This window comes from Homo sapiens, chromosome 3 (assembly GCF_000001405.40).
Source record: "Homo sapiens chromosome 3, GRCh38.p14 Primary Assembly".
NCBI classification, from domain to species: Eukaryota; Metazoa; Chordata; class Mammalia; order Primates; family Hominidae; genus Homo; species Homo sapiens.
This window is the reverse complement of record NC_000003.12, coordinates 118,461,533-118,488,799: the sequence shown is the minus strand read 5'-3', so window position 1 is coordinate 118,488,799 and position 27,267 is coordinate 118,461,533. Positions and strand designations below refer to the sequence as shown.

Genomic DNA, 27,267 nt, shown 5'->3' with positions numbered 1-27,267 from the left:
CCTTCCAATAGAATTGGGAGAAAATTGGAATGTCACTCTCCTTCTAGAGCCTATAAAATCTATGAGATTCTTTTTCAGAACAAAGCTTGCATTGTGACACTGACTGACACCCACGGCATAGGAGACATGTTGCAAACACTCTTAATAAAAGGCCTATCAAACAAACAACAAAAAAAGAATTGACCTTACCATTCCATTATTCTCTTCCTCCTTTCATCCTTTATTTTTCTATATAGCACTTATCACCAAAGAACATACTATATGTTTTACTTTTTAATTCTGCTTTTATGATTTCCTCACTGGAAGGTTACTCTCTGCTATATCCTCAGTGCCTGGAAGAGTGCCTAGCATGTGGTTAACATTCAATAAATATGCTCTGAATTAGTTAATTCGAGTTACAGACATAATTAAAGCTGCTTTTTAGTTGGCGAGGGCAACAGCTCCATGTCACCCAAGCCTGTTGCCATCCATCTAATCCCACAGGGGCTTTTGTCGGAGAGGGTGGAGACGCTTAGGTGGGTATGGGATGACTCCCACTCTCTTCCAGGAAGGAGTTCACCCCTCCCCACATAAACTTGTTTGTTAAAGAATAGAAGAGAATTCCAGAAAGATTAAAAGGTAGAACAAGAAGAGTAGGAAATCAGTAAGAAATATCACAGCTGGGAGCTTCAGAGAAAACGTACATAGGCTAAGGAGAGAGTGCAGAGCAATTTCTATTTCTATTTATGCACCATCATCTCTTTACTCACTGACAGATGCTGAGTGTTCCAGATCACCCCAATTAAACCAGAAGTTCCATGATCTCCCTTGGAAGTGGCTCCACATAAATTAGATTATACACAAATTCCCCAGAGCACGATTGTGCTTGAGCCTTGATGAGAATGTATGATTGCCTTGCTGTGCCCCACCTCAGACTAGGGAGGACTGAACCAGTACAGATAGGACTTGGTTTCCTCCTAAGGGGAAAAATGATGGGGAAATGGCCCTACATCTCTCCTTATTTGTGGGGTAATTGTGGCAGTGATGAGCAGGCTTTCAGAGGTTTCACCTGGGGAGGACTCCTGGGAATACGAGGCTCTGGTTGAGAACAGGAGGGGAGAAAAGGAATATTCAGCAAGGAAATGAATACGTAAGTATATAGACATGATTTGTAAGTGAAATGAGCTTTGAAAAATATCTGCTAGAAGGATTAGAACCTGTTTTTATGTTATTCGTTTCTCTGTATGACACAAACAACCATATTTGACATCAAGAGATCCTTTCAAGTGAGACTTTAGGGAAGAAATAGAAAAGAAATCAATCATTGAAAGCCTGAATTCTGAAGTACTTATTTAAAACTTTCTAAAGATTTTCAAAATTACTGTAAAAATTGACTACAAATTAGAGTTTTAAAAAAAACCCAAATGTGTTTTATTAAGTAATATCTATTTACTTACTTGTCTTTGGTCTGTAATTTTCCTTGTGCCCAGTCTAACCTATTCCCATCTCCTAGCTGACCAGGTTATTCTTACTGATTTCCTTCCCCTTGACACCTGTCTTGGAGGTCAAGCCTGGACCAATTAACTTGCATTTAATTATATTCAGGAACAGTAAAGAGTATAATTGTGAAGACTGTATTCCCGGCAGTCAGACAAATCTCCATCATCCCCAACTGTGTGACTCTGAGCAAGTCATTTTTGTCCCTCCGTTGCAGTGTCTCGTCTGTATAATGGGGGTAATAATGTTGCTTACCTTACAGTGGTGGAATTTCCTTGGTGAGGGAGATGGAATGGTGAGGCTTAAATGGCACAGTGTGCTTACCATGAGAATTTATGAAATCAATACAGTTCTGTGCAACTGAGGTCCAGGAAAGTTAAATGAAAAAAAATTTAATAGGGTCTTTGGCTCTTTATAAGCATTCAAGAATGTATTCTTTATCTTGAGGAATGTCACATTAGCCATCCAATTTTTATAAGCCTCAAAACTAGTCTCCTTTGACATGGCCTTTTCTTTTCACCACACCGTTTTAGCTAGACATCAAATTCTACTGAGTTTTTCTTCTCAATGTCTCTGAAATCTGTCGTTTCTTTCCCTTTCAGTTAGCATAGGGATCCCTCTGGTCTTGGCTGCTGTCACCTCTCACCTGCATTCTTCAGTAGCCACCCCCATGATTCCTGCACTCAGGCCCTCCTCCTGTCCTTTCTCTATATTAAAGGAACACAGATCTTTTTGATACTTAAGTTTGAATACATTGTTCTGATGAAAATTTTTCAATCACTTTCCATTGCTTTTAGAATAAAAAGTGAATTCCTTAATACGGTCTCCAAGGCCTTGTATCATCTACTGTCCAGCCACATCTCATATGGCTCTCCCCTTCCTTTGAGCACCAGCTACAAGGCGGCCTTTTCTTCCTTAAACCTGCTATGCTTCTGATGCAGGATTTCTGCATGTCATTTCACTGCTTGTATTGAACAGAACTTCTCAAAGCTCTGCTTGAGAAGTTGTTTAGTTTTGACTTCTCATATATCAGGGGCCCAAAGAGGAATATTTATCCTAGAATTTGGGGATAGTTACACCTTCAAATATTCTGCCCAGACATTCCCATTGAACTTTTATATTTGTCAGAATGAATGTCTCCTTCTTAGATGAGCATTACATTTTCACTAGAACCATGAAATCTTTAATCTGTTTGTTCTTACTCATCCCTTTGTCCAGAACTTTAATAGCCTCCTGGAAAGCCTTCCTGCCTCAATCTTTAAGCCTTTTCATGAATTTCTCCTAAAATCACTTAAAAACTGCGTAATTTGGGTCCTTCCATATCTTGCTCAAAGTTTTAAAGTAGCACACCATTTATCATCATTACAAATGCCAGCTCCTGACCACGTTTCATAATGAGGTATGCTATGCTTCATCTACTGCCCCTGTTCCTGCAGAGAAACAAGACTGCCAGCTTCCCCTCCTGACTCAGAACAGTCTTCATCGCCTTGAGTTTGGGTCATGCTATTCTTGGATTTTCATCTTCCCCTCGACGCCCACTCCTTCTTCATTAAAGAAAGTCCTCAAGTATCCACAAAAGAATTCTTTAAGCCCTTCTCCCAAAATAAATGTGGTCATTTTGAAAACAAACAAAAAATGGAAAAGCTCCTGGAAAAATGAATTAATCATAACAAAAATAAAATTTGACATGAGAAAGAAAATTTAAAAAGAGAAGATAATTTTGTTTAAATTAGCAAATAATACCATTTCTAATAAATGCAAATAAATTTAAAAATACAAATGTAATGAGCAATATCCAAAAATGTTAATTATCAAAATGGCCCAGGAGAAATCTGAGACCCTTTAAAGTAATTGGGAATTAAATTAATTAAAGAAATGTATTTTTAAAATTTGGGGTTTCCATGTTTATATACAGACCAATTTTTTCAAAGATTTAGTGAATAGCATTTAGAAAAAGATGTAACATTATTGACTTAATGTAGTAAAATTACTAAATTCACATACAAAAACCTCATAATGGCAGCAGAAATAAAATATATCGAAACCGAATTGCTATCTGTATTTTTGTCTTTAAATAAAATCTCATTTAAATAGAGAGATAAAACGTAAATAACCAAAGAGTAAATTGAATCCTATTATACTTTTAATATAATCAAAAAATACAATATGGAATTTATCGAGAGAATATAATGGTGAATTAATATTAAGAAATGTACTAATTAGGTCAAATGACCAAAAGAGAAAAATGGCTACTCATGAAATATTAAACAGGCTTCTGATTACATTCAACACTCATTCCATCACAACTCTTACAAAACATTGCTAAACATGATAAGACACAACATTATACAAGAATACCTCATTTTATTGCACTTTACATGATTATGCTTTACAGATACTGGATTTTTTACAAATTGAAGATTTGTGGCAACTCTGTTATAAGCAAGTGTATTGGCACCATTTTTCCAAACCAGCTGTGCTCACTTCATGTCTCTGTGTCAGCAATAAAGTATTTTTTAAATAAGGTATATATATTTTTTAAAAACAGGCTATTGTACACTTAATAGACTACAGTATAGACACAATTTTCATATGTACCAGAAAAACAAAAAATTTTTATGACTCACTTTATTGCTAGGTTAACTTTATTGTGATGATCTTGAACTAAACCTACAATATCTCCAAGGTATGCTTGTACTTAGTGGCAAAACAGTAGAAATAGTCCCACCTTTAATCAAGAATGAGATAAAGTTGTTTGCTGTGAAAGTTCTTTCCAATAAAACAAGATGATATCTAGGAACAAGAGACAAAACTATTGGAACAAAAATTACAATTAGAATTATTTTGCCTAATATTTGATTTTATTCTGAGGAAAAATATCAACTTACAAGAAGTTTTGCAAAGTGACTAGATAAAAATAGTTTTATAAAAACCAATACCTTTTCTGTAAACCAGCAATAGCCCACAAAAAGTTATAAGAGAAAAATAAATCCATTCACAACAGCAAATAAGAACAATACAGTGCCTGGGAATGAGCATAATAAAATCAGTAGACTATTATGGAATAAAATAACTATGAAACATAACATTTTTCTGGATGAGGGTGTCTTTATTTTGAAACAGTGAATCCTTCTCAAGATAATACATTGATTTAAAACAATATCTATAAAAATACCGTTGATTCGCGTTATTTGTGGTTGTTATGTTTTATAAATTTGCTGTGAACAATGAATTTACCAATCCTGAATCATCACTTCTAGGGGACATACAAGATTAGGATCCTAGGAGCCTCTGGTCACAATATTTTCATCAACCTGTGAAAAGAATTATATTTCCTCTCCTTCCTGAAAGTTTGATAATTTGAGTCTATAAAACAAACTGACAATAGACATACTAACAGAAAAGAAGGCACTAAAGTTTATTAATGTGCATTAAACACAGGAGCCATACACAAAGTATGAAGCTCAAAGAAGAGCCAGATGGTTAAACATCCACTTCATAGCAAAGAGTGAAATGGAGGACTGAAGACAATTTTAGAGGCATGGTAAATAATTTTAGGAGAGATGAATGCATTGATCAGGGAGACAGAAATTAGCTTGTAAATGATGATTCTCTTTGTAAATGAATGGGACTGGGGAATAAACAATAGTTTGGGATGAAGTTCCTTTGGGCTTGTAGGTGTGATGGTTAATTTTCAGATTCCTCCTCTGTGATATGAATTTTAGTTTTCTCTTGTTCATAAAAATTTAGGGAAGGGATTAGAGGCAATTGCGTCCTCTTTTGGTGGGAATGGTTCTTAGATAGGTAAGGGAATTTCAGACAATATGCTGTGGTTTGGGAGAGACATTGTTGAGAGACAGGATCAGGGAAGGTCAAGCTTCTTTTGTTCAGCATATGTAAGCACTATATTTTAAGGTATTGTTTTCAGAGCCCCAACAAACCAATCAGTACATGACTTTATTTTGTGTTTCTGTTTAAAGACATCTTATTTAGCATATATTGTTGATTAATTCACATTGAACACATGACCAACAGTGATATAACTCAAGCCTGAGGGAAGTTTATCTAACACAACTGTTTTCTCCGTATGGCACATCACAGCCTTATGCACTAAGGAACATTAGACAGCACTTCAGCACTATACTTGGGGCCATTTTAAACAGTAATATCCACAAGAAGCACAGAAATGTGAAAAAAAAAGGCACTAAATTAAGACCAAAAAGGACACTTGTTTATAGTATGAGAATTGAAGCAAGAAAACATTGCATCACCTAATTCAATATGCATTTGGGGTGGCAAACTTTTTGCTGCTCTGCTCAGGTTTGTAAATGACAAAGAAAGCTCCATAAATATTGATTTGGGGTCACAAATGTATTTTAGAGAATAGGCAAATTTGCAAATATAGAATTGCAGGTAATGAGTATCAGTTGTATTTATTAATTTTTCTTTTTGTAGAAAGACATAACAGAGTAATTTTAAAATTCATCTGGAAAACAAACTGGAGGGAATACAGCTAAGAAAAGTAGGAAGATGGAGAGGGGGATTTGTCTCCTACTGGACGTTAAAATTGATTTTACAGCTAGAGCAATTTATATCCTTTGATGTAAATATCTCCAGACAGATCCATAAAACTTATAATCTTGGGATAAATTCTAGCATATTCAAAAACTTATTATTTGTCAAATAATGCATTATAAAATAATGAGGAAGCTATGTGTGAGTCAGGAATAGTTATTTTAACTTTGTTTGAAAGACTAATTTATTTTTTCTCTTATTTACATAAAAATAATGTTCACATGAATTTAAAAAGCAAATATAGAAATGTAGCAACAACAACAAAAACAGAAGAAAATATAGGTGAATAGTTAACAGACATTCGGGCAAAAAAACTATTTTCTTAGATAAAAGCCATGGAAGAGAAATGCCAAAAAAAATTAAAGGATTCTGATAGGTGTATGAAAAGATGAATAAAAATAGTACTTTTGTTTATACAAAAATGCAATTTAAAACAAATATCAAGATGAGAAAAAATGCTATAGCTATTGTAACAGACACTGTTGTAGCCTTAATGTGAAAAGAGCTTTTAAAAATAAATAACAGCATTGATATTCCAGTGGAAAAGAGAATCAAGGGATTTCGAACTCATGGAATAACTGAAATTGAAAAAGTGACAAAGTGTTTAATTCTACTACTAAGTACACAAACAAAGTTGAACAAAAGGATGACATTATTTACTTTCAAAATAATAAGAATAAGGAGGACAATACAGAATGTTGATGAGAGCATCAGAAGCAACAATGCCTAATCAATTAGAGATAGAACTCTGGAGCTGGTCTGCCTGACTTCAAATCTTGACACTATTATTTACTACTGTGTGGTCTTAGACAAACTACTCTGTGCCTCAGAATCTTCAGCAATAAATGGGGTTAGTAATACAGTATACTTACTTTATAGGGGAGAGTTAAATGAGTTAATCCATGTAATGAACTTAGAACAGGATCTGGGGGCACAGTCAATATGCTTTGAATATTAGCTATTTCCAAGAGGACATTCGGTTGGGAGCATAGGTTAGTAACTTTTCTCGAAAACAATTTATCAATTTGCATCAAGAGCCTTTGAAATGCTCATACCTTTCAACGTAGTGATTCTGCTTCTTAGAAGCTATTTACTCAAACTAATGAGAAATGTTGGCAAACATGTATACAATAGATGGTCCTTGTTATTATTTACAAATGTGAATAATTGGAAACAATTCAAATACCCCCCAAATTAAAAGACTGTATGATAGAATTCATAAATTGATAAATTAAGGTTTATTAAAAAGACAGACTATCCAGCCATTAGAAACGTTTTCCAAGAATATTTAATGACATAAGCTCATTCTCACCACTTTTAAGTAAACAGAGCACAATGCAGAGTGGCATATGCTATATAATTCTGATTTCTCTGAAGACTTTGTAAAGTTGTTCTGGCATAACATTTGCTTGCTAGCATGCATCACAAACTGCATGTATTTGATTTATTGTCTAATTCTCCCAATAGAATATTATTAACTCCAGGAAGATATTCACCATATGTATTATGTTCACTAGATGTCTTCATTTTACATTGAGCAGAACAGTGCTTATTGCATAGTAGATACTCAATGAATAATTGTTAAGTAAATGAATGAATGAATAAATAGATAGTTTTGTCCATACATTAGATAGAATCATTAAAAGATATAGAAATAACTGAAATAATAACAGAGGTGGTTTTTATATTTATGTGAAATGTTTGAATATTCTCCAGTAAGTCCAAATTATATCTACATGAAAAAAATAATTATTAACCACACATGGACAATTATCTTTCTTTAGTATGTATCTTTCCCAACCACAGTTGGTTTAAAATTTTCTGTATTTTCCAGTTTTCTGTGCATGTGTCATGTTTCATATTGTCCTTTTTATTTTAGGCTTACACTGTCATTTTGATTCAAGGAAAGTTAGACCAGCCGTGTATACTATTTATTTTAGATACTGAACACATTCCTCCTTGATTAAATAAGAGACAGTTCTGACTGAATGTATTTGTTTTAACTAACCAAAGTTAAAGGGCTGTTGGATGCACCAACCCACCACATCCTAATCTTTCTTACTCTATTTCATGGGGCTCAACACCTGCAAACCACAAATCCTCAAAGTGTAGGTCATCATCTGGCTGTGGCTGCTCATTTTTGCCACTTCCTCTTTTTAAAAGAACCAATCACGCCAAAGAAAAATATCTATATATGATTTTCCCCTATTTGAAAAAAAAAATTGGAAATTAGAATTAGCTAAATTCCGAAGTAGGTGAAAAATGGAGTAATGGTTTGGAAAGGTTAGTGTGGGGGGAGCCACCCTCCTATTCACAATGGGAAATATCCATAACAAGGCCATTTAGCCAATACATATTTTCCTCTTTAGAACATAAGGGGTAACCTGAATAAAATGTTTGAATTACAAAGCAGCCTAATCCTGCGCATTCTCTGAGCAATGACTGCTATTTGTGTCAAGAAAATAAAGAGGCAGAGAAAATGAGAGAGAGGGAATGGGAGGGAGGGTGAGAGCACATGTAAGTTATCTTTCTTGCAGGAAACAGGGAAACACTAGAAATTAGATTTTTTTAAATTAAAAAGTTAGTGTTTTATATCTTTGGTAAGATCATTACTCACAGAAAAATCCCAGACATTTCTATGGTTTTTATAGGATTTTTTTTGCCTCTTTTCTAAAGGCAGAAAACGAACTCCAGTACCCACCATACCTGTAACCCCTTCCTGCCTTCAGCCTCCTTCCCCAAAATAGAGCATGTGGTATCGCTAATGTGCAGATTAATGGTACAGCTGGAAAGGCATTTATGGTCCATTTTCTTCCGATATTATTAAAACTGCTCCATCACCGCCTGTAACGGGGGCGTCCGTATTTTCTCTCGCCTGTATCCCTGACATGACATAATGCCTGCCCTCACCAGTATGCTATAGCATAGAGGTAATTGAAACATAACTCACCCTAAATTACAGGCAATGTTTAGGCAAGGCCCCAGTGAGCTTCCTAAGGCTCATTACAAGTATAAGCTAAATATTTCTTTAAGGGGGTGGGAGGAAGAGAGAGGAAGAGGGAGGGAGGGAAGGGGGGAAGAGAGAGAGAAAGAACACTTAAGAGTAACTGAGGATGAGGCAGGTTTCTAAAAAGGGAGATTTTTCTTTCCCCCTATTGTTTTAGGTGAGCCCCTATTCGACTCAGATCAGTAGCAACCTGTTATCATTATTAGTTGAATGGCTATTTCCTAGACTACTTGAAATTGTGGGTTTGCATTCAATTCCTAGGAAACTTGAGTTCACACAATTATATTTTCTGGTCTAATTGTTACTGGAAAGGGGTCCCAATCTAGATCCCAAGAGAGGGTTCTTGGATCTTGGGCAAGAAATAATTCAAGGTGAATCCATAGAGTAAAGTGAAAGCAAAATTATTAAGAAAGTAAAGGAATAAAAAATGGCTACTCCATAGGCACAGCAGCCCTGAGGGCTGCTGGTTGGCTATTTTCATGGTTATTTCTTGATTACATGCTAAACAAGGGGTGGATTATTCACGAGTTTTTTCGGAAATGGGTGGGCAATTCCCTGAAGAGGGTTCCTCTTCCTTTTAGACCATATAAGGTAACTTCCCAATGTTGCCATGGCATTTGTAAACTGCTATGGCGCTGGTGTGAGTGTCTTTTAGCATGCTAATGCGTTATAATTAGTGCACAATGAGCAGTGAGGACAATCAGAAGTTGCTTTCATCACCACCTTGGTTTTGGTGGGTTTTGGCTGGCTTCTTTACCACAACTAGTTTTATCAGCAAGGTCTTTGTGACTTGTATCTTGTGCGGACCTATGCCCTCCTGTGACTTAGAATGCCTCACCTCCTGGGAATGCAGCCCAGTAGGCCTGAGTCTCATTTTACCCCGCTCCTATTCAAGGTGGAGTTGCTCTGGTTCAAACACCTCTGAGACAATAACTCGTGAGTTAGCAGTATTTACTCCTGGAAAGGGTAATAAAAAATAAAGTAGTGGCTGACTTCCTAATGTTGTAGGACTTTCTCCTTAGTTCGGCTAAAAGCCAGGTTCTTGTCACATGGTCATGAGAGACTAGGTTCACAGACACTTTGAAGGATGAGAAAAATGGAATTTATTGGGTGAAAAGGGAAAAAAGGGAAACAGGGACTCTCAGCAAAGTGATAGTCCTGCTAGCCAGTTTCCTGCCTCCCAGACTGAATCCCAGGTACCACCCAGGAAGAGAAGGGACGAGGCTCCACCTCAGTGCACATTCCTCTCAGTGCGCAGATCTGTTGGAGGTTCTGCCAGGGATCCGTTCCCATCTGGTGTCTCACTCAGACTGAAAGGTACAGTGGGAAAGATAGAGTGTTCTCTATAATTCTTTCAGTTATCAAAACCTGAAATTTCAGCCATTGTCTTGAGATTGTGTATTTGGAGTAAAGAAGTCAACACACCTAATTTTGCATCAGCTACTTATTAGAAACATGGTTTACACCAATCTCATTAGGAAAAAGGGAATGATAGTGTTCTTTGAATGAAAAGTTCATCTGCCTACAAATCGAATGGCTTTCATTTGACTGCGTTTCATTTTCCCTTTCTCACATGAAAGGGTCCCTGTGACTCTCACACATTTGTCCTTCCTCTCAAATTTTTCCCTCCAATGTTACTTTTAGGTAGCCATCTGATTCCCCTTAGTTGAGCTGCTGTCTTACCCCTGAAGCCCTAGAAGCTTATATCCAGTGCCACAAGCCTCCCCCAGGCCATGTGGAAGCCTGGCTTCTCCATGCTGGTCCTAGTCCCAGCACTCCTTGTGGAGGGAAATGAGCAGTGTTGGGTAAGGGGAAGAGGACAGCAGAGTGCAGTCCTTACACGTGCTTCTGGAGTCTGGTCAGTGGGTTCTGCCCTCTGCACTTTTATAGCACTTTATAAGTACAACTTGTATTTATATCATATATAAATACAACATGGAGTGTCCTAAGGAACAACGCCAGTGTATTTCTCTCCCCCTGAGACAGCCAGTATATTCTAAGTGGTAAACACTTTGAGCAGCATAAGCACAAAGGTAATGTAATTGGTTATTGTCCCTGCTCTCACCCAAGGGCTCAAACTGGCTTTAAAGAAAAACAAACAAACTGATTTCAGTGTTCTCCATCAGCTTCCTGCCACTGTCCCTAGTTGCTGTGGCTGTCTTTCTCAAAATTACAGAATGGCAGTGCCTTCACTTGAGAACTCAAGATTACCTTTCACTTTCCCCATATCAGGACTGAAAAAGATTCAGAGAATCATGTAGTAGTGTTCATGACACTTAAGAGATGATGTATTCCAGTCCTCATATTTCACTCATGGTTGATCAGAGGGGAAAAAGGACCTATTCAAAGACACACAGTTAATTAGGGGCATAAGTGTGCATAGAAATAATTAGTGGTATAAGTGTAAGCAGAAAGCAGATTCTTCTTTCTCAGTTCTATGTTCTTTCTGCTATATACCAAACTACATTTTTTTGTAGTTTGATTCTACATACTGTCCTTAAAGGGTAGAATTTTAGTGACTATGAAATTGAAGTTGGTCTATTGTCACATCCATAAAGGAGTGTTAATGATTAGCTTAATGTGTTACCATCTTTTAAGAATTTGCCTAAGCACAATATGGAAGAATGAATTTCTAAAGATAGAGTGTAATACATACTTAGAGTGAAAGAACTTTTGGGTAGCCGTAATTGAAATTAGATCACATAGTCAACCACCTACTTCCCTTGGGTTTTAATGTTGGGCTTATTGTGTGTATTGGCTGATTGATATGGATTTCTGTCATAAGATTTACACCATTAGTGTTGGAAGGAACCAGAGAGTTCATCTAGTCTAGACGCCACTTTTTATGACTGCATTACCCAAGGTTACACAGCTTGTTATTTGCAGAGCCAGAACTTTTACTCATGAGGGCTGACTCTTTGCACAGTTCTTGAATTCCCTGAGTCTAGGGATAAAGTGATTTGAAAACAAGGATGTATACCAAAATACTTGGATCACCTGGGATACTTTTTAAAAATATATATACTTGTGTATATTTATTCTTCAGCTCTGCTTCTGATTCTATAGGCCTAAGAGAGATATCCAGCAATTATACTTAAAGAATACAGTATAATTTACAGATAGTAAATACATAAATCCTAAGTGTAAATGTCATGATTTTTATGCACACACATGAGCATATATAAACATATACATCCACACATCTGTGTGACCTGTGTGCCAAAGTAAAAATAAATTAAGATATCCAGATTCTGGAAAACTCATGTTATCCTTTTCAGTCAGTAAACCCCCTTCCTCCAAGGATAACCACACTTACCTCTTTCCCCATAGATTATTTTGCCTGTTTTTGAAATTTATATAAATGGATTTATATAATGAATACTCTTTTGTGTTTGATTTCTTCCACTCAATGTTATATCTGTGAAATTTGACCATGTTTTATTTTTCAGTGGTTGTTCTTTTGCATTGCTACGTAGTATTCTGTTGTGTGAATGTATCATTTATTTATCCATTCTACTGTTGATGAACACCTGGGTTATGTATAGTTTTTAGTTTTTATGAATAAAGGTGCTATGAGCATCCTTATCTATGTTTTTTTGGATATATAAAGCATTTATATCTGCTTGGTATATATTCATGAGTGGAATTGCTATGTCATTCATTAGGATATAGGGATGTTTATCTTTCAAAGTTACTGAGATATAGTTTTTCAAAGTGATCTCACATTTAACACTCCCACTAGCAATTTAAGGGAGTCCTTGTGTTGTTCTACAATATTGCCAAACCTTGGTATTGTCAGACCTTTAAATTTTTGTCATTTGGGTAAGTGTATAGTGACTTTAACTTGCTTTCCTCTGGTGACTAAAGTTGAGCACTTTATAAAATGTTTATTTTCTGAATCAAACTTTTTAAAATAAATGTATTGCCGGGCACAGTGACTCACACTTGTGATCCCAGCACTTTGGGAGGCCGAGGCGGGTGGATCACGAGGTCAGGAGATGGAGACCATTCTGGCCAACGTGGTAAAACTCTGTCTCTACTAAAAAACAAAAATTAGCTGGGTGTGGTGGCATGCACCTGTAGTCCCAGCTACTCAGGAGGCTTAGGCAGGAGAATCACTTCAACCTGGGAGGCAGAGGTTGCCATGAGCCAAGATCGCGCCACTGCCCTCCAGCATGGGTGACAGAGCAAGATTCCGTCTTAAAATAAATAAATAAATAAATAAATAAATACATAAATAAAATAAATGTATTGATGATTTTTTTCAGTCTTTAGCTTATCTTTTTACTCTCTTCATGGTGACTTTTGATTAAAAGATCTTAATTTTAGTAAAGTCCAATCTGTTATTTTTTTATTTAAGGGTCAGTAATTTTTGAATCTTATTTAAAAAAATCTGCCTAGCCAATGGTAATGATAATAGTTTACTGTATTTTATTCTAGAATCTTGATTCTTTTTAGCTTTCTTATTTAAGTCCATGTTACATCTAAAAATATTCTTGAGTGTTTGTATAGCAGAACCTACAACTTTTAAAAGCTCTCCAATAAATTTTAATGGTCATTCCTGGTTGAGAATCATTGGAAGTAAAAATATTTAGATTCAGATTTGGGATCAAATCTCATTTATGTTATTTATTAGCTTAATCATATTTTCCAAATCCCTTTTCTCATATTAAAAACATCAAGAATAGTAGTATCTATATCCTAGGGTTTTTTGGCGTATGACCTGTGATAATTACTTAAAGAGACTGACATATATTAGAAGCTCATTAAATCATAGCTATTTTGATTTCATTTAAGTCCATTGCAAGCATGGGATATGCTAAGTTCATTGATGATGAAATGCAAGTATTATGATTATTTATTTAGGTTGTAGTTTGTTTGCTTTTATGTTCATTAGCTGACATACACACATAGGTCATTCATAGTAGATAGTAGATTATTTTAAAAGGTCAACTTAGGTAAGCTTTTTAGAGGTACGATGGCCACTTTTAGACTAACAGCTTACAGAATTCAAATAAAGAAACTGGGAACTCATGGCAGCATGAAGGGCAATGAGAAAGAAACCCACAGCATTTCAACTGAGAACATGTCTATCATTCTAAAATTCAAATGAGAAGAATTCAAAGTAAAGAGAAAAGTATTCTGGATCCAAGAGGTGATGAATCCTACTTTTCCTTTTTGGGAAAATGCACACAAATGTCTGGATGACTCAATGCTCAGTATTTTGCAGGCACTTTGCTGTGCCCCACAGGGGGAGTATCACAGCCATGTGCTGCTAAATACACTCACCCTACCCTTTTGAGAAGACATTTAAATGTCTCTTTACATTTTGCACCAAACTTAATTTTGCTGACAGGGTTGAGGCAGACAGGTGGATTTGTGTGCATGCCTTTATCTTATCTGGTTCTTGGAGTTTCCCAAATTTAGATCAAAGTACCTACAATATTGGGTTTGAAGAGATAGGAACACATTAATGACGAATCACAAGCAAGACCTGTGTATGCCCAACATATTCCTAACTCCCCCATGGAACAGTTAATTCTGTTGGTCAGAGTTTAAGATAGTTGATCGGGTTCCTCTGAAAACAGACCTTGAGACAAAGATAGATTTTTGTAGTTTATTTGGGAAGTAATCCGCAGTAGCATACGTGTGGGAGGGGAAAAGCCAGACAAAGAAAGATGAAATGCCAATAAAGTACACATTTAGTTACTGGGACGTTATGGGCTGAATTATGTAAATGAGGTCAAAGAGCTGGGCCCTAATATGATATGACTGATGTCCTTATAAGAAGAGGAGATTAAAACACAGGCATGTGCACACATAGAGGAAAGGCTGAAAACAGCAAGAATGCAGCCATCTGTAAACCAAGGAGAGAAGCCTCAGAAGAAACCAACCCTGCCAACACCTTGATTTTGGACTTCTAGCATCCAGAACTATGAAAGAATAAATTTCTGTTATTTATGGCATCTAGTTTGTAGTATTTTGTTATGGCAGCCCTAGTAAACCAAGACATGAGGGTAATAAGGGCTCAGCTCTGCCAAATTGCTATTTGGCAAGTTCTATACTCTTCCAGAACTTGCTTTAGAATTATCCTACCAGGAGATGCAAAGGCTAGACCATTTATCTACCAGCTCCTATTCTCTACTTGAGATGAAGTTCTCCTACACTTTTAAGTTGCAATTGCATGTGGTTGGGTGGTTTGTGCTTGATGTGGTATATTGTCAATGAGCATGAGCCACAGCTGGGCTGGCCTGAAATCAGGTGGGCCCAGGGGATTGTTGCATCATGAGTATCTGGACACCCCTGGTTTTCATACATGGCAATATAGCTCACTAGTTACTGGGCTTGAAGCTTGGCCTCTCAGGGAAGCCTGGACAACTTATCTTTGTTCCATCTTCTCTTTTGCTTTTTCATCCCTGTTGCCCTTGTTGCATAGTGGTAAATTAAAAACAAAAATTTAGATCAGAGTCGAATAGGGCAATTATGGCCTAGAACCCCATGCTTCAGCTCAGATTTGATCTGATCAGTGGTCAGAATTAGAATTGTTGGACACTTGTGCAGCTAGTAAGAAAGCGGTGCTGTAATACCTCTTAATGTCTCTCTTGTTAAACTTATGGTGGTGGTAGTAGAGGGTATGGTGATCAACAGGGTAGAATTCGATTATTTGAGGTTCAGGTTCTTCAAAGCTCACTACTACATTGACTTTATTGACCCTGTAGTTTCCAACATGTCTTGCTCTTCTCTAAAACAGAAGCTGTAGATAGATTCTACCCATCTAGGCCAATATGTAAAATAATCATATTAAAATCAACCTCATTTTTCTACACTGCCTGTTTATTTTATTCAGGCAACCTCCCATTTGCCATCCTGATACACAGCCTGTCTCTGTAACTTGGGAGGCAATTTCTTTGGGTGGCCTGATTGTGATGACTCATACCAAACATGTTTCTCTTGCTTAACTTCAGCAGTTTGTATCAGCCACAGATCTCATATCACATATAGTTTCCGTCTCTATAAACAAAACCAACAATACCCTAAATAAATGAGTGTTTAAATCCAGATCCCAGCCAGAGGGATGTTTGCAAGCTAGCACACTTCTTACCTCCCTGGACTTCAGATTGAACCCAGGAGGATATTCATGTTGTTTAGCCATGTGCCTCTACTTTTGGTCCAGAAGGTATATATGTTAAAAAATATTGCTGTATGCCTCATGCACAGATTCTTGGGATTACTGATTTTTTAAATTGACCAAGATATTTGCTTGGTCTCACTTGAGTGGAAATATGAAGAAATATTTCTAGGCCCAGATGGAGATAAAATTGTCTCAAAGTCAAAATTTGCGCTTTACAATTTGGGAATGATTTTTTTTTTCTTTAATTGAAACACTCTAGTTTCAGGGTGCTGCTCTCTCCCATGAGTCCCCTAAGGCTGCCCTAATCAGGTCCGCTGTGGCAATTGTATACTAGCCCATCAGGTCCTCTGCAAGGAAGTGGCCTTAAGACAAAGCAAGTGTCTGACTCAGACAACAGCAAGGAGGAAGGGGGTGCGATGGTTTGAATGTGTCCTCTTCAAGATTCATAGGGGGAAATTTGTCAATGTGGTAATATTAAAAGGTGGAACCTTTAGAAGTGATTAGACCCTGAGACTTTCTCCTTCACAAATGGAATCAACACCCTTATGAAAGAGGCTTCCCTCGGTGTTTGGCTAGCTTGCTCTTCCATCTTCTGCCATGTGATAACACAGCCTTCCTCCTTTCTGGAGGATGCAGCAATCACGAGACAACTGAATTTGCTGGTGCCTTCATTCTGAACTTCTCAGCCTCCAGAACTATGAGAAAATATGTCTCTTGATTTTTATAAATTACTCAGTCCCAGGTATTCTGTTATACTAGCACAAAGAAAACTAAGAAAGAAATCAGTACCAAAAGTGGAATACTGCTATAGCAAATATCTAAAAATGTAGAAATGGTTTTGAAATTGGATAATGGGTAGAGGATGGAACAGTTTTGAAATTAATGCTGGAAAAAACCTAGATTGTTGTAAATGGAGCATTAAGGCAAAATTAAAGGTGAGAGTCAGAAGAAGAGGAATACTGTAGGGAGACCCTCAGTTTTCTTGGTGATTATCTAACTGGTTGTAATCAGGATGCTGATAGAAATAAGGACAGTAAAGACCATTTGATGTGGCCTCAGATGGAAATTAGGAACAAAGTATTGGGAACCAGAGGAAAGGTGATTGTTATAAATTGGCAAAGAAGTTGGCTGAATTTTGTCTGGGTCTTAAGACTTTGTGAAAGGTAGATCTTAAGAACAATGAACTAGGATATTTGGTGATAGAAATCTCTAAGTAGCAAAGTGTTCATGATGCTGCATAACTTCTCTTAATGGCTTATAGAAAAATGCAAAAAGAGAGTAAGGACTCGAAGACAGAATTCATAATTAAAAGGAAAGCAGAACACAAAGATTTGGAAATTTTTTAACCTGGCCATATAAAGAATAAAAGGAATGTTTAGGAGAAAAAACCAAAAGTGTGACTAAACAACACTTTGATAAGGAGATTTAATATATAGAAGGAAGCCATGTGTTTTCCATCAAGAAAATGGGAGAATGGCCCCCAAGGCATATCAGAGATTTTTGGTGCTGCCATGCCCATCACAGGCCCAGAGTGCTAGGCCCTGGGGGTAGAGGTGTTTTGGGGTAGTAGATTGAGATGCCTGTGGGATATCTGTGCTCACTTCCCAGGGCCATGTCAGGTCTTTCCTCCGCATATTCTGACACAGTGCTCCTTAGTTGCCCCAGTTGTGGCTCAGACAGGTCTAGATACAGGTCAGGCCACAGCTCCAGAGGGTATAAGCAGTGAACCTTGGCAGCATCCATATGCTGCTGATTCTTCAAAAGTTCAGAGTGCAAGAACAGTGGAGGCATGGCTTCCTCTACCTAGATTCAAAGAATGCCCTAGATAGCCCTAGGACAGACCTGCCACAGGGTAGAGTCACTGTAGAGAGCCCTCAGTGAGGGCAATATCCAGTGTAATTATGGGGTTTGGGTATAGAAGAAAACCTTCACTAAGGCAATGCTCAGTGGAGCCATGTGTCAGGGTCTCTGCTAAGACCCAAGATATCTAAAGCCACCAGTGTGCAACTCCTGCCAGGGAAAGCTGCAGACATTTACTCCAACCCATGAGAGTTATGATATGAGCTGTGCCCAGCAAAGCCATGGAGCCTTTGGGGATCCAAATCCCACCTCAGTGTGTCCAGATGATGGAACATATAGTAAAAAAAATTAATATTTTTGAATCTTAAGATCTAATGTTTGTCTCGTTGGGTTTTGGACGTACTTGAGACCTGTTACCCCTTTCTTCTTTACTATTCCTCCCTTTTGGTATCCTATGTCTGTCCCATTGTATTTTGGAAGCACATAACTTGTTTGATTTTACAGACTCACAGCTGGAGGGAAATTTGCCTCAGGATGAATCATGCCTTGAATTTTACCCATATCTAATTTAGATGAGACTCTTGACTTTAAACTTTTGAGTTGATACTGAAACAAGTTAAGATTTTGGAGCTATTTGTATGGAATTAATTTTTTTGTATGTGAGAAGAACATACATTTGGGGGGACCAAGGGTAGAATGCTGTGGTTTGATTATGTGCACTCTAAAATTCAGGTGTTGCTGATGTGATAGTATGAAGAAGAGGATGCTTTAGACCATGAGGGATCCTCCCTCATGAATGGGGTTAACACTCTTATAAACAAGGCCTCATGCAGCATTTGACTTGCTTGCCCTTTCACCTTTTGCCACATGAAGACACAGCAGTCCTCCCTTCTGGAGGATGCAGCAATCACCAGACCACAGAGCCTGCTGACACCTTGATCTTGGATTTTCCAGCTTCCAGCACTGTGAGAAAATTAATTTCTGTTCTTTAAAAATTACTCAGTCTCAGGTTTTCTGTTATAGCAACACAGACAGACTAAGACTGGGAGTTTAATAATGAGAAATTAGAGAACATATTTTGGAATAAAGACAACAAAGTTTATGTTTGATGACATGATAGTAAAACTATCCTACACAATAGCAAGAAGCTGCTGCCTCACTGGTTCCTGAATCAGATTAAATTTAGCAGACCAGCCTGAGAGGGAAACAGATTGAAGGAGACAATGATGGAGATAATCTAGTGAGGAAATCATCTAAACCCTCAAATTGTTATCTGAGATGTAAAGTATGTTTTGCTTTTGCACTTGCATGTAGCTTGGCTGAACAGCACCACAGGTTTCATTAACAAAGGCCACACCATTTGGTTCATAGTAGTAGGCCAAGCTAATTGAACCCTGGGGTCAGTGTCAGCCAACCTTTTCTAGATATTTGGAAGCTGCTGACATAGAGCCATCAGCATTGTATGACTTGGAAACAGAACATTCTGTGATAGGCTTTATAATAAAACAGAAACAAGACTGTTTCCTTTGAAATAAAGATAAAATGTGTAACATCTGAAGCATTCAACAAGAAACACAACAGCACAGATCATGACCCCTAATGTGCCTTTTGTCATGACAAAGTTTCACTGAGTAACTTCTACAAGCCAAAACCTTCAGTGGTGCTTCTGATGGGAACCTAAGGAAATAGATGACTCAGTCTTGGCCCCCCAAGCACCCCTGCTGTATAGACAAAGAGAGCAAACAAGTGAAGTATACAGATTTATGATTCAAGAAATGTATAGATGAGATAAGCAAAGGAAGGAACTGTAATGAGATCCATTATATACATTAATGTTTAGTCATGAGAATTAAATCTCTGGATGCTGGAAGGGCATTTGGGGATAATCCATTCTAACTCTCTCATTTTAGGTAAATTGCTCAGGGTCAAATAGCTAGTCATTCTGATAGATAAGATTGGAGTCAAAAGGGCTAACCCTAGCTCAGTGTATTGTTCTAGCAGATTAAATGGTGAATAAAGAAATTGGATAAGTGAATCCTAGGCAAAAATATAAAGCAATAATAAAAAGATAAATAATTGGAAACCTCTCCTGTTCCTTACAAAAATACATTTTAGCCAGAGGAGAAGAAAACCCTCACTAAAAAATATCTGCTAATAAATGGAGTAGGACATAAAAATTTAATGTCAATTAAAATACTTTGTTAGGCTAAACTAATTTTTAAATCTGCCCTCAAGAAGAAAACTGTAGCCTATAAATCTAAACATTGAGAAAGAATAAAGCAACTATTGACCTAAAAATGCAAAAGAGTATGTAGAAAATTTGAACATGTGCACATGATCAAGTCAAAGCATTATTTATCTGCAACTACTGAAATTAGCAGATATTTTTGAAGAATGATTGGAAAAATTGAATAAATGAGATCTCAAGGTTAGAAAGGACATTATTAAAGTATGCTCAGACATAAAATCTCTTGACTGAACATTACACATCAACTTCCATATGTCTAATATGATATAAACAAGAGGGAAATCTCAGTTATATAGAAACATCATTAAAGAAAAAGTATCTTCTAGATAAAAAACGAATAATTAGCTGGCATATATGCCTCCATAATGTGGTGTCTTCTTATGTGTCCAACCCATCTCCTTCCACATATTTCCTTTGACCTACACTCTAGCCATACTGACTCTGACTGGTTCCACATTTTCTCCCACTCTAGGCTTATTCTTAGGTTCCTTACAATTCTCCCCCTTTTCATCTCCTTTTCCTTCTCAGCCCATTGCCAAGTTCAACTTGTCCTGAAGTATTCAATTTCTATTTCCTTTGTCTTGTCCCCTGGCCCTGCCCTATCATTTGGATTGTTTTTTCTTTTTTCTCCATGACTTCCAGGTTACATAAATTCTCTCATTCTCTTTTTAACGCTGCTCTTTAATGCTGTTCCTTTTTATCTAGTTGCCTGGTAGCCACTTGGTCTCATCTACTAGACTCTAAGAGTAGAAATCAGGATTGAGATTGCTTCTTATTCTTCTTGTCATCACCAGATTTGGAGCATGATATAAGTTGGATATTTGTCCCCACCCAAATCCCATGTTGAATTGTTACCCCCAGTTCTGGAGATGGGGACTGGTGGGAAGTGTTTGGATCATGGAGGTGAATTCCTCATGGCTTGGTGCTGTTTTCATGATAGTGAGTTATTGCTAGATCCGATCATTTAAACATCTATGGCACCCCCTCCCCACTCTCCTCTCTTTCTTGCTCTTGCTTTTACCACGTGAAGTGCCTGCTCCCACTTTGCCTTCTGCCATGAATAAAAGCTCTCTGAGGCCTCCCCAGAGGCAGATTACGCTGTGCTTCCTGTACAATCTGCAGAACAGTCAGCCAATTAAACTTCTTTGTTAAAATAAATTACCCAGTCTCAGGTATTTCTTTATAGTAATGCAAGAGTGGCCTAATACAGGGCTCTTAATTGAATTTAATAAAAGTTTGTTGAATAAACAGTCAGACATTCTCGTCCTTGTCCCCAAAAAGGGGGTTGTGATGGTTTTGGTTTTACAATGAGAATGGATGGATATAGTCAACAGTCTAGATTATTTGACACTAGAATAGAGAGGCTAAATGTCCAGGTTTATTTGTTTCTCTGAACAAAGCAGCCTTTGTTGTGATTGGGCTTACAAAGAAAGTGGTCAGAATTGAAAAAATGGAAACATCAGCATTCTAATCAGATGATTGAAATATGTCCTCGCATGCCCAAGGGCTCATTCTTTTTATCATCTGAAATGGAAAGGAGCAATTCTTTCCCCTGTCATCAAGCTTACTACTAAATCATGTGTGGAATGATATCTCAGGCACCTGCCTGGGGACCTGTCATAAGCTCTGGAGAGCTCACTGCAGTGCAAGGGATTCAAGCAGCTTTTGATAATGTTGTTATATGGCCTTCATTATCCTTCCAGTGGTACTGATGACACTTAAGAGATGAAAAGGAACAAGATAAAATGAAAAATTAAGCTAAAAGAACAGCAGACTTAACTCACTTTTCCAGGGGTAGCATGTGAAGATTTGGCTGCTAGAATGGATTCACAAATCACATCTAAAAGCGGACAGAGGCTGGGCATGGTGGCTTATGTCTTTAATCCCAGCACTTTGGGAGGCTGAGGCAGGCCGATCATTTGAGGTCAGGAGTTCGAGACCAGCCTGAACAACATGGTGAAAACCTGTCTCTACTAAAAATATAAAAATTAGCTGGGTGTGTTGGTGTATGCCTGTAATCTCAGCTACACAGGAGGCTGAGGCAAGTGAATCGCTTGAACCCCTGAGTGGAGGTTGCAGTGAACCAAGTACACCACTGCACTGCGGCCTGGGTGACAGAGCAAGACTCCATTCACCCCTCCCCACCAAAAAAGGACAGCAAAATTTTGTAGGGGAGAAGCCCATCCCAGTCTACCAAAGAAGGAGCTGGAAACCTTACCAAAAGCCATACATAAAACCTGAAAAGAAAAACTAAAGAACAATACAATAACTGGCTAGCCAGAAGCTTATGCAAAAGGGCTCTATGGAGCACAAACAAGCCTCAGTATTTCCATATAAAACCTGAATAATTTGTCAGAAACTTGAAATTATCATAGACTGTAAAGTGTCTTTAATAACTTTTTATTGTATATGGACATAAATAAGCAAAAACGGTGCTTGTTGATATTTTAAGAGTCTGAATTATTGTCCAAATGTTTGTTGGTTAGTTATATATTTTATTTTGTAAATTATAAACTTACCATTTTCCTATTCTGGATGTTGTTTTTTTCTTAATGATTTGAATAAGTTATTTATTTAATAAAGATATTATTCAGTGCTTTAAATTTTCCATTCAAGAAAATTGAATATGTATCAAAAGAATTAATTTTTAAATAATTTATTCATTTTTTAAAGAAAATATTAACTAAGCACCTGTCATATGCTAGGTACTATTCTAGGCACTTGGAATATATCAGTAAATGAGATGTACCAAATCCCTGTGCTTATGGAGCTTATATTCCTCTCTCTCTCTCTGTGTGTGTGTGTGTGTGTGTGTGTGTGTGTGTATGGAGGTGGAAAGTTCATAGCAAATAAACAGCAAACAAATAAGTAAATCAAATAGTTAGAAGGTGTTGTAGGTATTGTAAAAAATAGAAAAACAAAGCATGAGTAGAGTGCTGGGGGAAGGTAGGTGTTTCAGATTGCATTATTAAGTATGGTAGCTGAGGTAGTTTTATTGGTGGGTGATATTTGAACAAAGACCTGAAGAAGACAGGAGAGAGTCATATGTCTGGGATATCCTAGGCAGAAGAAGCTACCTGTGCAAAGTTCCTATGGCAGAAGCATCCCTGGTAATCTTGAGAAGCACCAAGGAGGCCAGAATACCTGGAATAGACTAGGTGAGAATTTTAAGGAATGAAATCAAAGAGAAAAGGAGATCAATTGTGTGGGACCTCACAGGTCATTGTAAGGATTTCTGTTTTTCTTCTGAGTGAAACAGAAAGCAGTAGAATGATATGACTTAGGTTTTACCAGGGTCACTCTGGTTGCTAGATTGAGAACAGATCATGGAGAAGAACGGTTTAGAGCAAGGAAAGCAACTAGGGGCTGCTATTAGTTTCCTACTGTTGCTATAACAAATGACCACAAACATAGTGGTTTGTTCAAACAACACAAATGTATGACCTCACAGTTCTGGATGTCAGTAGTCGGAAATGGTTTTCACTGGGCTGGAATCAAGAAGTTGACAGGGCTGCATTCATTCTAGAGGCTCTGGAGATAATCCATTCCCTCATATTTTATAGCTCCTCCTGGAGGCTTTCTGCATTCCTTCACTAGTGGATCAATTCCAGAAATTGTATCACTCTGACTTCTGCTTCTGATATAGTTTGGATGTAGGTCGTTTCCAAACCTCTTGTTAAAATGTGACCTGCAATGTTGGAGGTAGGCCTAGTAGGAGGTGTTTGAGATCATAGGGGTGGATCCCTTATGAATGACTTGGTTCCATCCCCATGGTCATGAATGAGTTCTTGCTCTGGTAGTTCATGGGAGAGCCGGTTGTTTAAAAGAGTGTGGCACTTACCCCACCCCATTTGCTCCTGCTCTTGTCATGTGACGTGCCTGTTCCCCCTTTATCTTCTGCCATGAGTGGAAGCAGCCTGAGGCCATCATCAGAAGCTAATGCTGGTGTCATGCTTTTCATACAGCCTGCAGAGCCATGAGCCAAAATAGACCTCTTTTCTTTATAAATCACCCAGTTTCAGGCTCCTTTATAGCAAAGTGTTCCTTTATAGCAAAGCAAAGCAGACTAGCATAGCTTCCTTCATTGAATCTGCTCTAAGCTTGATCTTGCTGCCTCTCTTTTACGAGGAACCTTGTAATTACATTGGGCCCGCCCACATAATCTCCAGGATAATCTCCCCCATCTTAAGGTCCTTAATATAATCACACCTGCAAAGTCCTATCAGGTAACATAGTCACAGGTTCTGAGTATTAGGACACAGACATCTTTCGGGGGGGTGAGGGGGGCATTATTCTACCACAAGGCTGTTCTAGTAACCAGGAAGGAGATGATGGTGATTTATACTAGGATGTTACAATGAAGATAGTGGAGAATGATCGGGTTTTAGATATTATTTTGAAAGCAAAGCCAGTGGTATTTCCTAATGGATTAGATTTGAGTGTGGAAGAGAGATGAGTCAAGGCTGATTCCAAGTAACCAAATCCTGGTGATCCTGTGTTCTGTGAGGGTAGCCGCCATAGCTGTCTTTCTTACCTCTATGTTTCCAAGGCCTAGCATAGTGCCCGACACACAGTGAATGCCCTGTAAGTATTCACACACTTAAAATTTTCGTATTACAAATAAGCATGAATAAGGAAAATTAGAACATAAAGAAAAAAAACATCAAAAACCATCATCCCCAAACCTGCAAAATTGCTTTAACATTTTTTATCATTTGTTTCAAAATTTTGTTTTATAAGCACATTTTTCTTCTTAGATTTTTGTGGTAGCACTAAACCTGTCATATTGAGCTCTTAAAATATATTTTAAATTAACATTTTCCCATGTTTATAGTCTTCATTGACATTCATTTTGACACCTTTTATACTATTCCTTTCAGTGGATGCTTCATAATTTATGTAATCATTCCCTTACTGTTGGATATTCTGGTACTTTTAGCATTTTCACTAATATAAATAAAGTATATAATTCAAATAGTCTTTCAATATATCTCCCACCTTATATTTGTAGCATAGAGTCCCAGAAGTGGAATGAATCACTGACAAAAGTATGACATTTTTCATAAATTTTGATGCAGAGTACCAAGTTGTTTATAAAACAGTTGTTCTAATTGTTATTGTCAAAACCAATATCTGAGTATACCAGCATCTATGAATTCTTCCAGTAAAAAGTATTGTCAATTATAATAAATATTCTCCTCTATTAAGTAAAAAAAAGTCTCATATTTTTTAAAACTTGATTCCTTTTCCTTTGTAATTCCTCTTTTGTGAGTTATCTTTTTATATTCTTTTCGTTTATTTTATTGTCTTTTCTTATTGGTGTATCTGAACTCTTCAGTTAATACAATCATAAAGCCTAGATCCATAAAATATATTTTTAATAAAATTGATTATAAATCAGGAAACAGTATGAAAATATCTAAAGGACAACAAAATAAAATACAGTAAGAGGTATGGACACAGGGCCATGCCGTGTTCATCAATTTCAAGCAGGTTTGTAAGTCCCTTGGTGAACAAGCTAGTCTTCTTGAAGATACATTCTCACTGCATGTCTATTTGTAACATCTACTGGGAACAATAAATAACATCCAAGAGAGAAAGAGATTTTGGAATCTTTTCTAATAGAACTTTCAAACAAATAATTAGAAACCTTATTTTTAAATGAATGTAAGCCACATTTTATTTTTCATTTATTTTATTTTATTTATGCTTTAAGTTTGGGGATACATGTGCAGAATGTGCAGGTTTGTTACATAGGTATACATGTGCCATGGTGGTTTGCTGCACCCATCAATCTGTCATTTACATTAGGTATTTCTCCTAATACCATCCCTCCCCTAGCCCACCAACCCCCACAGGCCCCAGGGTGTGATGTTCCCCTCCCTGTGTCCATGTGTTCTCATTGTTCAACTCCCACTTAAGAGTGAGAACTTGCAGTGGTGTTTGGTTCTCTGTTCTTGTGTTAGTTTGCTGAGAATGATGGTTTCCAACTACATCCTTGTCCCTGCAAAGGACATGAGCTCATCCTTATTTTATGGCTGCATAGTATTCCATGGTGTATATGTGCCATATTTTCTTTTTCCACTCTATCATTTATGGGCATTTGGGTGGTTCCAAGATTTGCTATTGGGAATAGCTCTGCAACAAACATACTGTGCATGTGTCTTTGTAGTATAATGATTTATAATACTTTGGGTATATACCCAGTAATGGGATTGCTGGATAAAATGGTATTTCTGGTAGATCCTTGAGGAATTGCCACACTGTCTTCCACAATGGTTGAACTAAATTACACTCCCACCAACAGTGTAAAAGTTTTCCTATATCTCCACATCCTCTCCAGCATCTGTTGTTTCCTGACTTTTTAATGATCACCATTCTAACTGGGGTGAGATGGTATCTCATTGTGGTTTTGATTTACATCTCTCTAATGACCAGTGCTGATGAGCTTTTTTTCATGTTTGTTGGCCACATAAATGTCTTCTTTTGAGAAGTCTCTGTTCATATCCTTTGTCCACTTTTTGATGGGGTTGTTTGTTTTCTTCTTGTAAATTTCTTTAAGTTCCTTGTAGATTCTGATTATTAGCCCTTTGTCAAATGAATAGATTGCAAAACTTTTCTCCCATTCTGTGGGTTGCCTGTTCACTTTGCTGATAGTTTCTTTTGCTGTGCAGAAGCTCTTTAGTTTAATTAGATCCCATTTGTCAATTTTGGCTTTTGTTGCCATTGCTTTAAGTGTTTTAGTCATGAAGCCTTTGCCCATGACCATGTCCTGAATGGTATTGCCTAGGTTTTCTTCTAGGGATTTTATGGTTTTAGGTCTTAGATTTAAGTCTTTAATCCATCTTGAGTTAATTTTTGTATAAGGTGTAAGGAAGGGGTCCAGTTTCAGTTTTCTGCATATGGCTAGCCAGTTTTCCCAACACCATTTACTGAATAGGAGATCATTTCCCAATTGCTTGTTTTTGTCAGCTTTGTCAAAGATCAGATGGTTGTAGATGTGTTGTGTTATTTCTGAGGCCTCTGTTC

The 27,267-nt window shown here is 37.3% G+C and overlaps 3 annotated features.

The window, feature by feature from the left end:
• Window positions 8,097-8,714: an enhancer, noted in NCBI's record as "OCT4-NANOG hESC enhancer chr3:118198933-118199550 (GRCh37/hg19 assembly coordinates)". NCBI's record gives its function as "activates a minimal SCP1, AML or CMV promoter by ChIP-STARR-seq in naive H9 embryonic stem cells {active_cell/tissue: H9 hESC(naive)}" and the evidence as "EXISTENCE:reporter gene assay evidence [ECO:0000049][PMID:30033119]".
• Window positions 9,519-9,568: an enhancer, noted in NCBI's record as "active region_20289". NCBI's record gives its function as "activates an Ori minimal core promoter by ATAC-STARR-seq in GM12878 lymphoblastoid cells {active_cell/tissue: GM12878}" and the evidence as "EXISTENCE:reporter gene assay evidence [ECO:0000049][PMID:35858748]".
• Window positions 11,063-11,182: an enhancer, noted in NCBI's record as "active region_20288". NCBI's record gives its function as "activates an Ori minimal core promoter by ATAC-STARR-seq in GM12878 lymphoblastoid cells {active_cell/tissue: GM12878}" and the evidence as "EXISTENCE:reporter gene assay evidence [ECO:0000049][PMID:35858748]".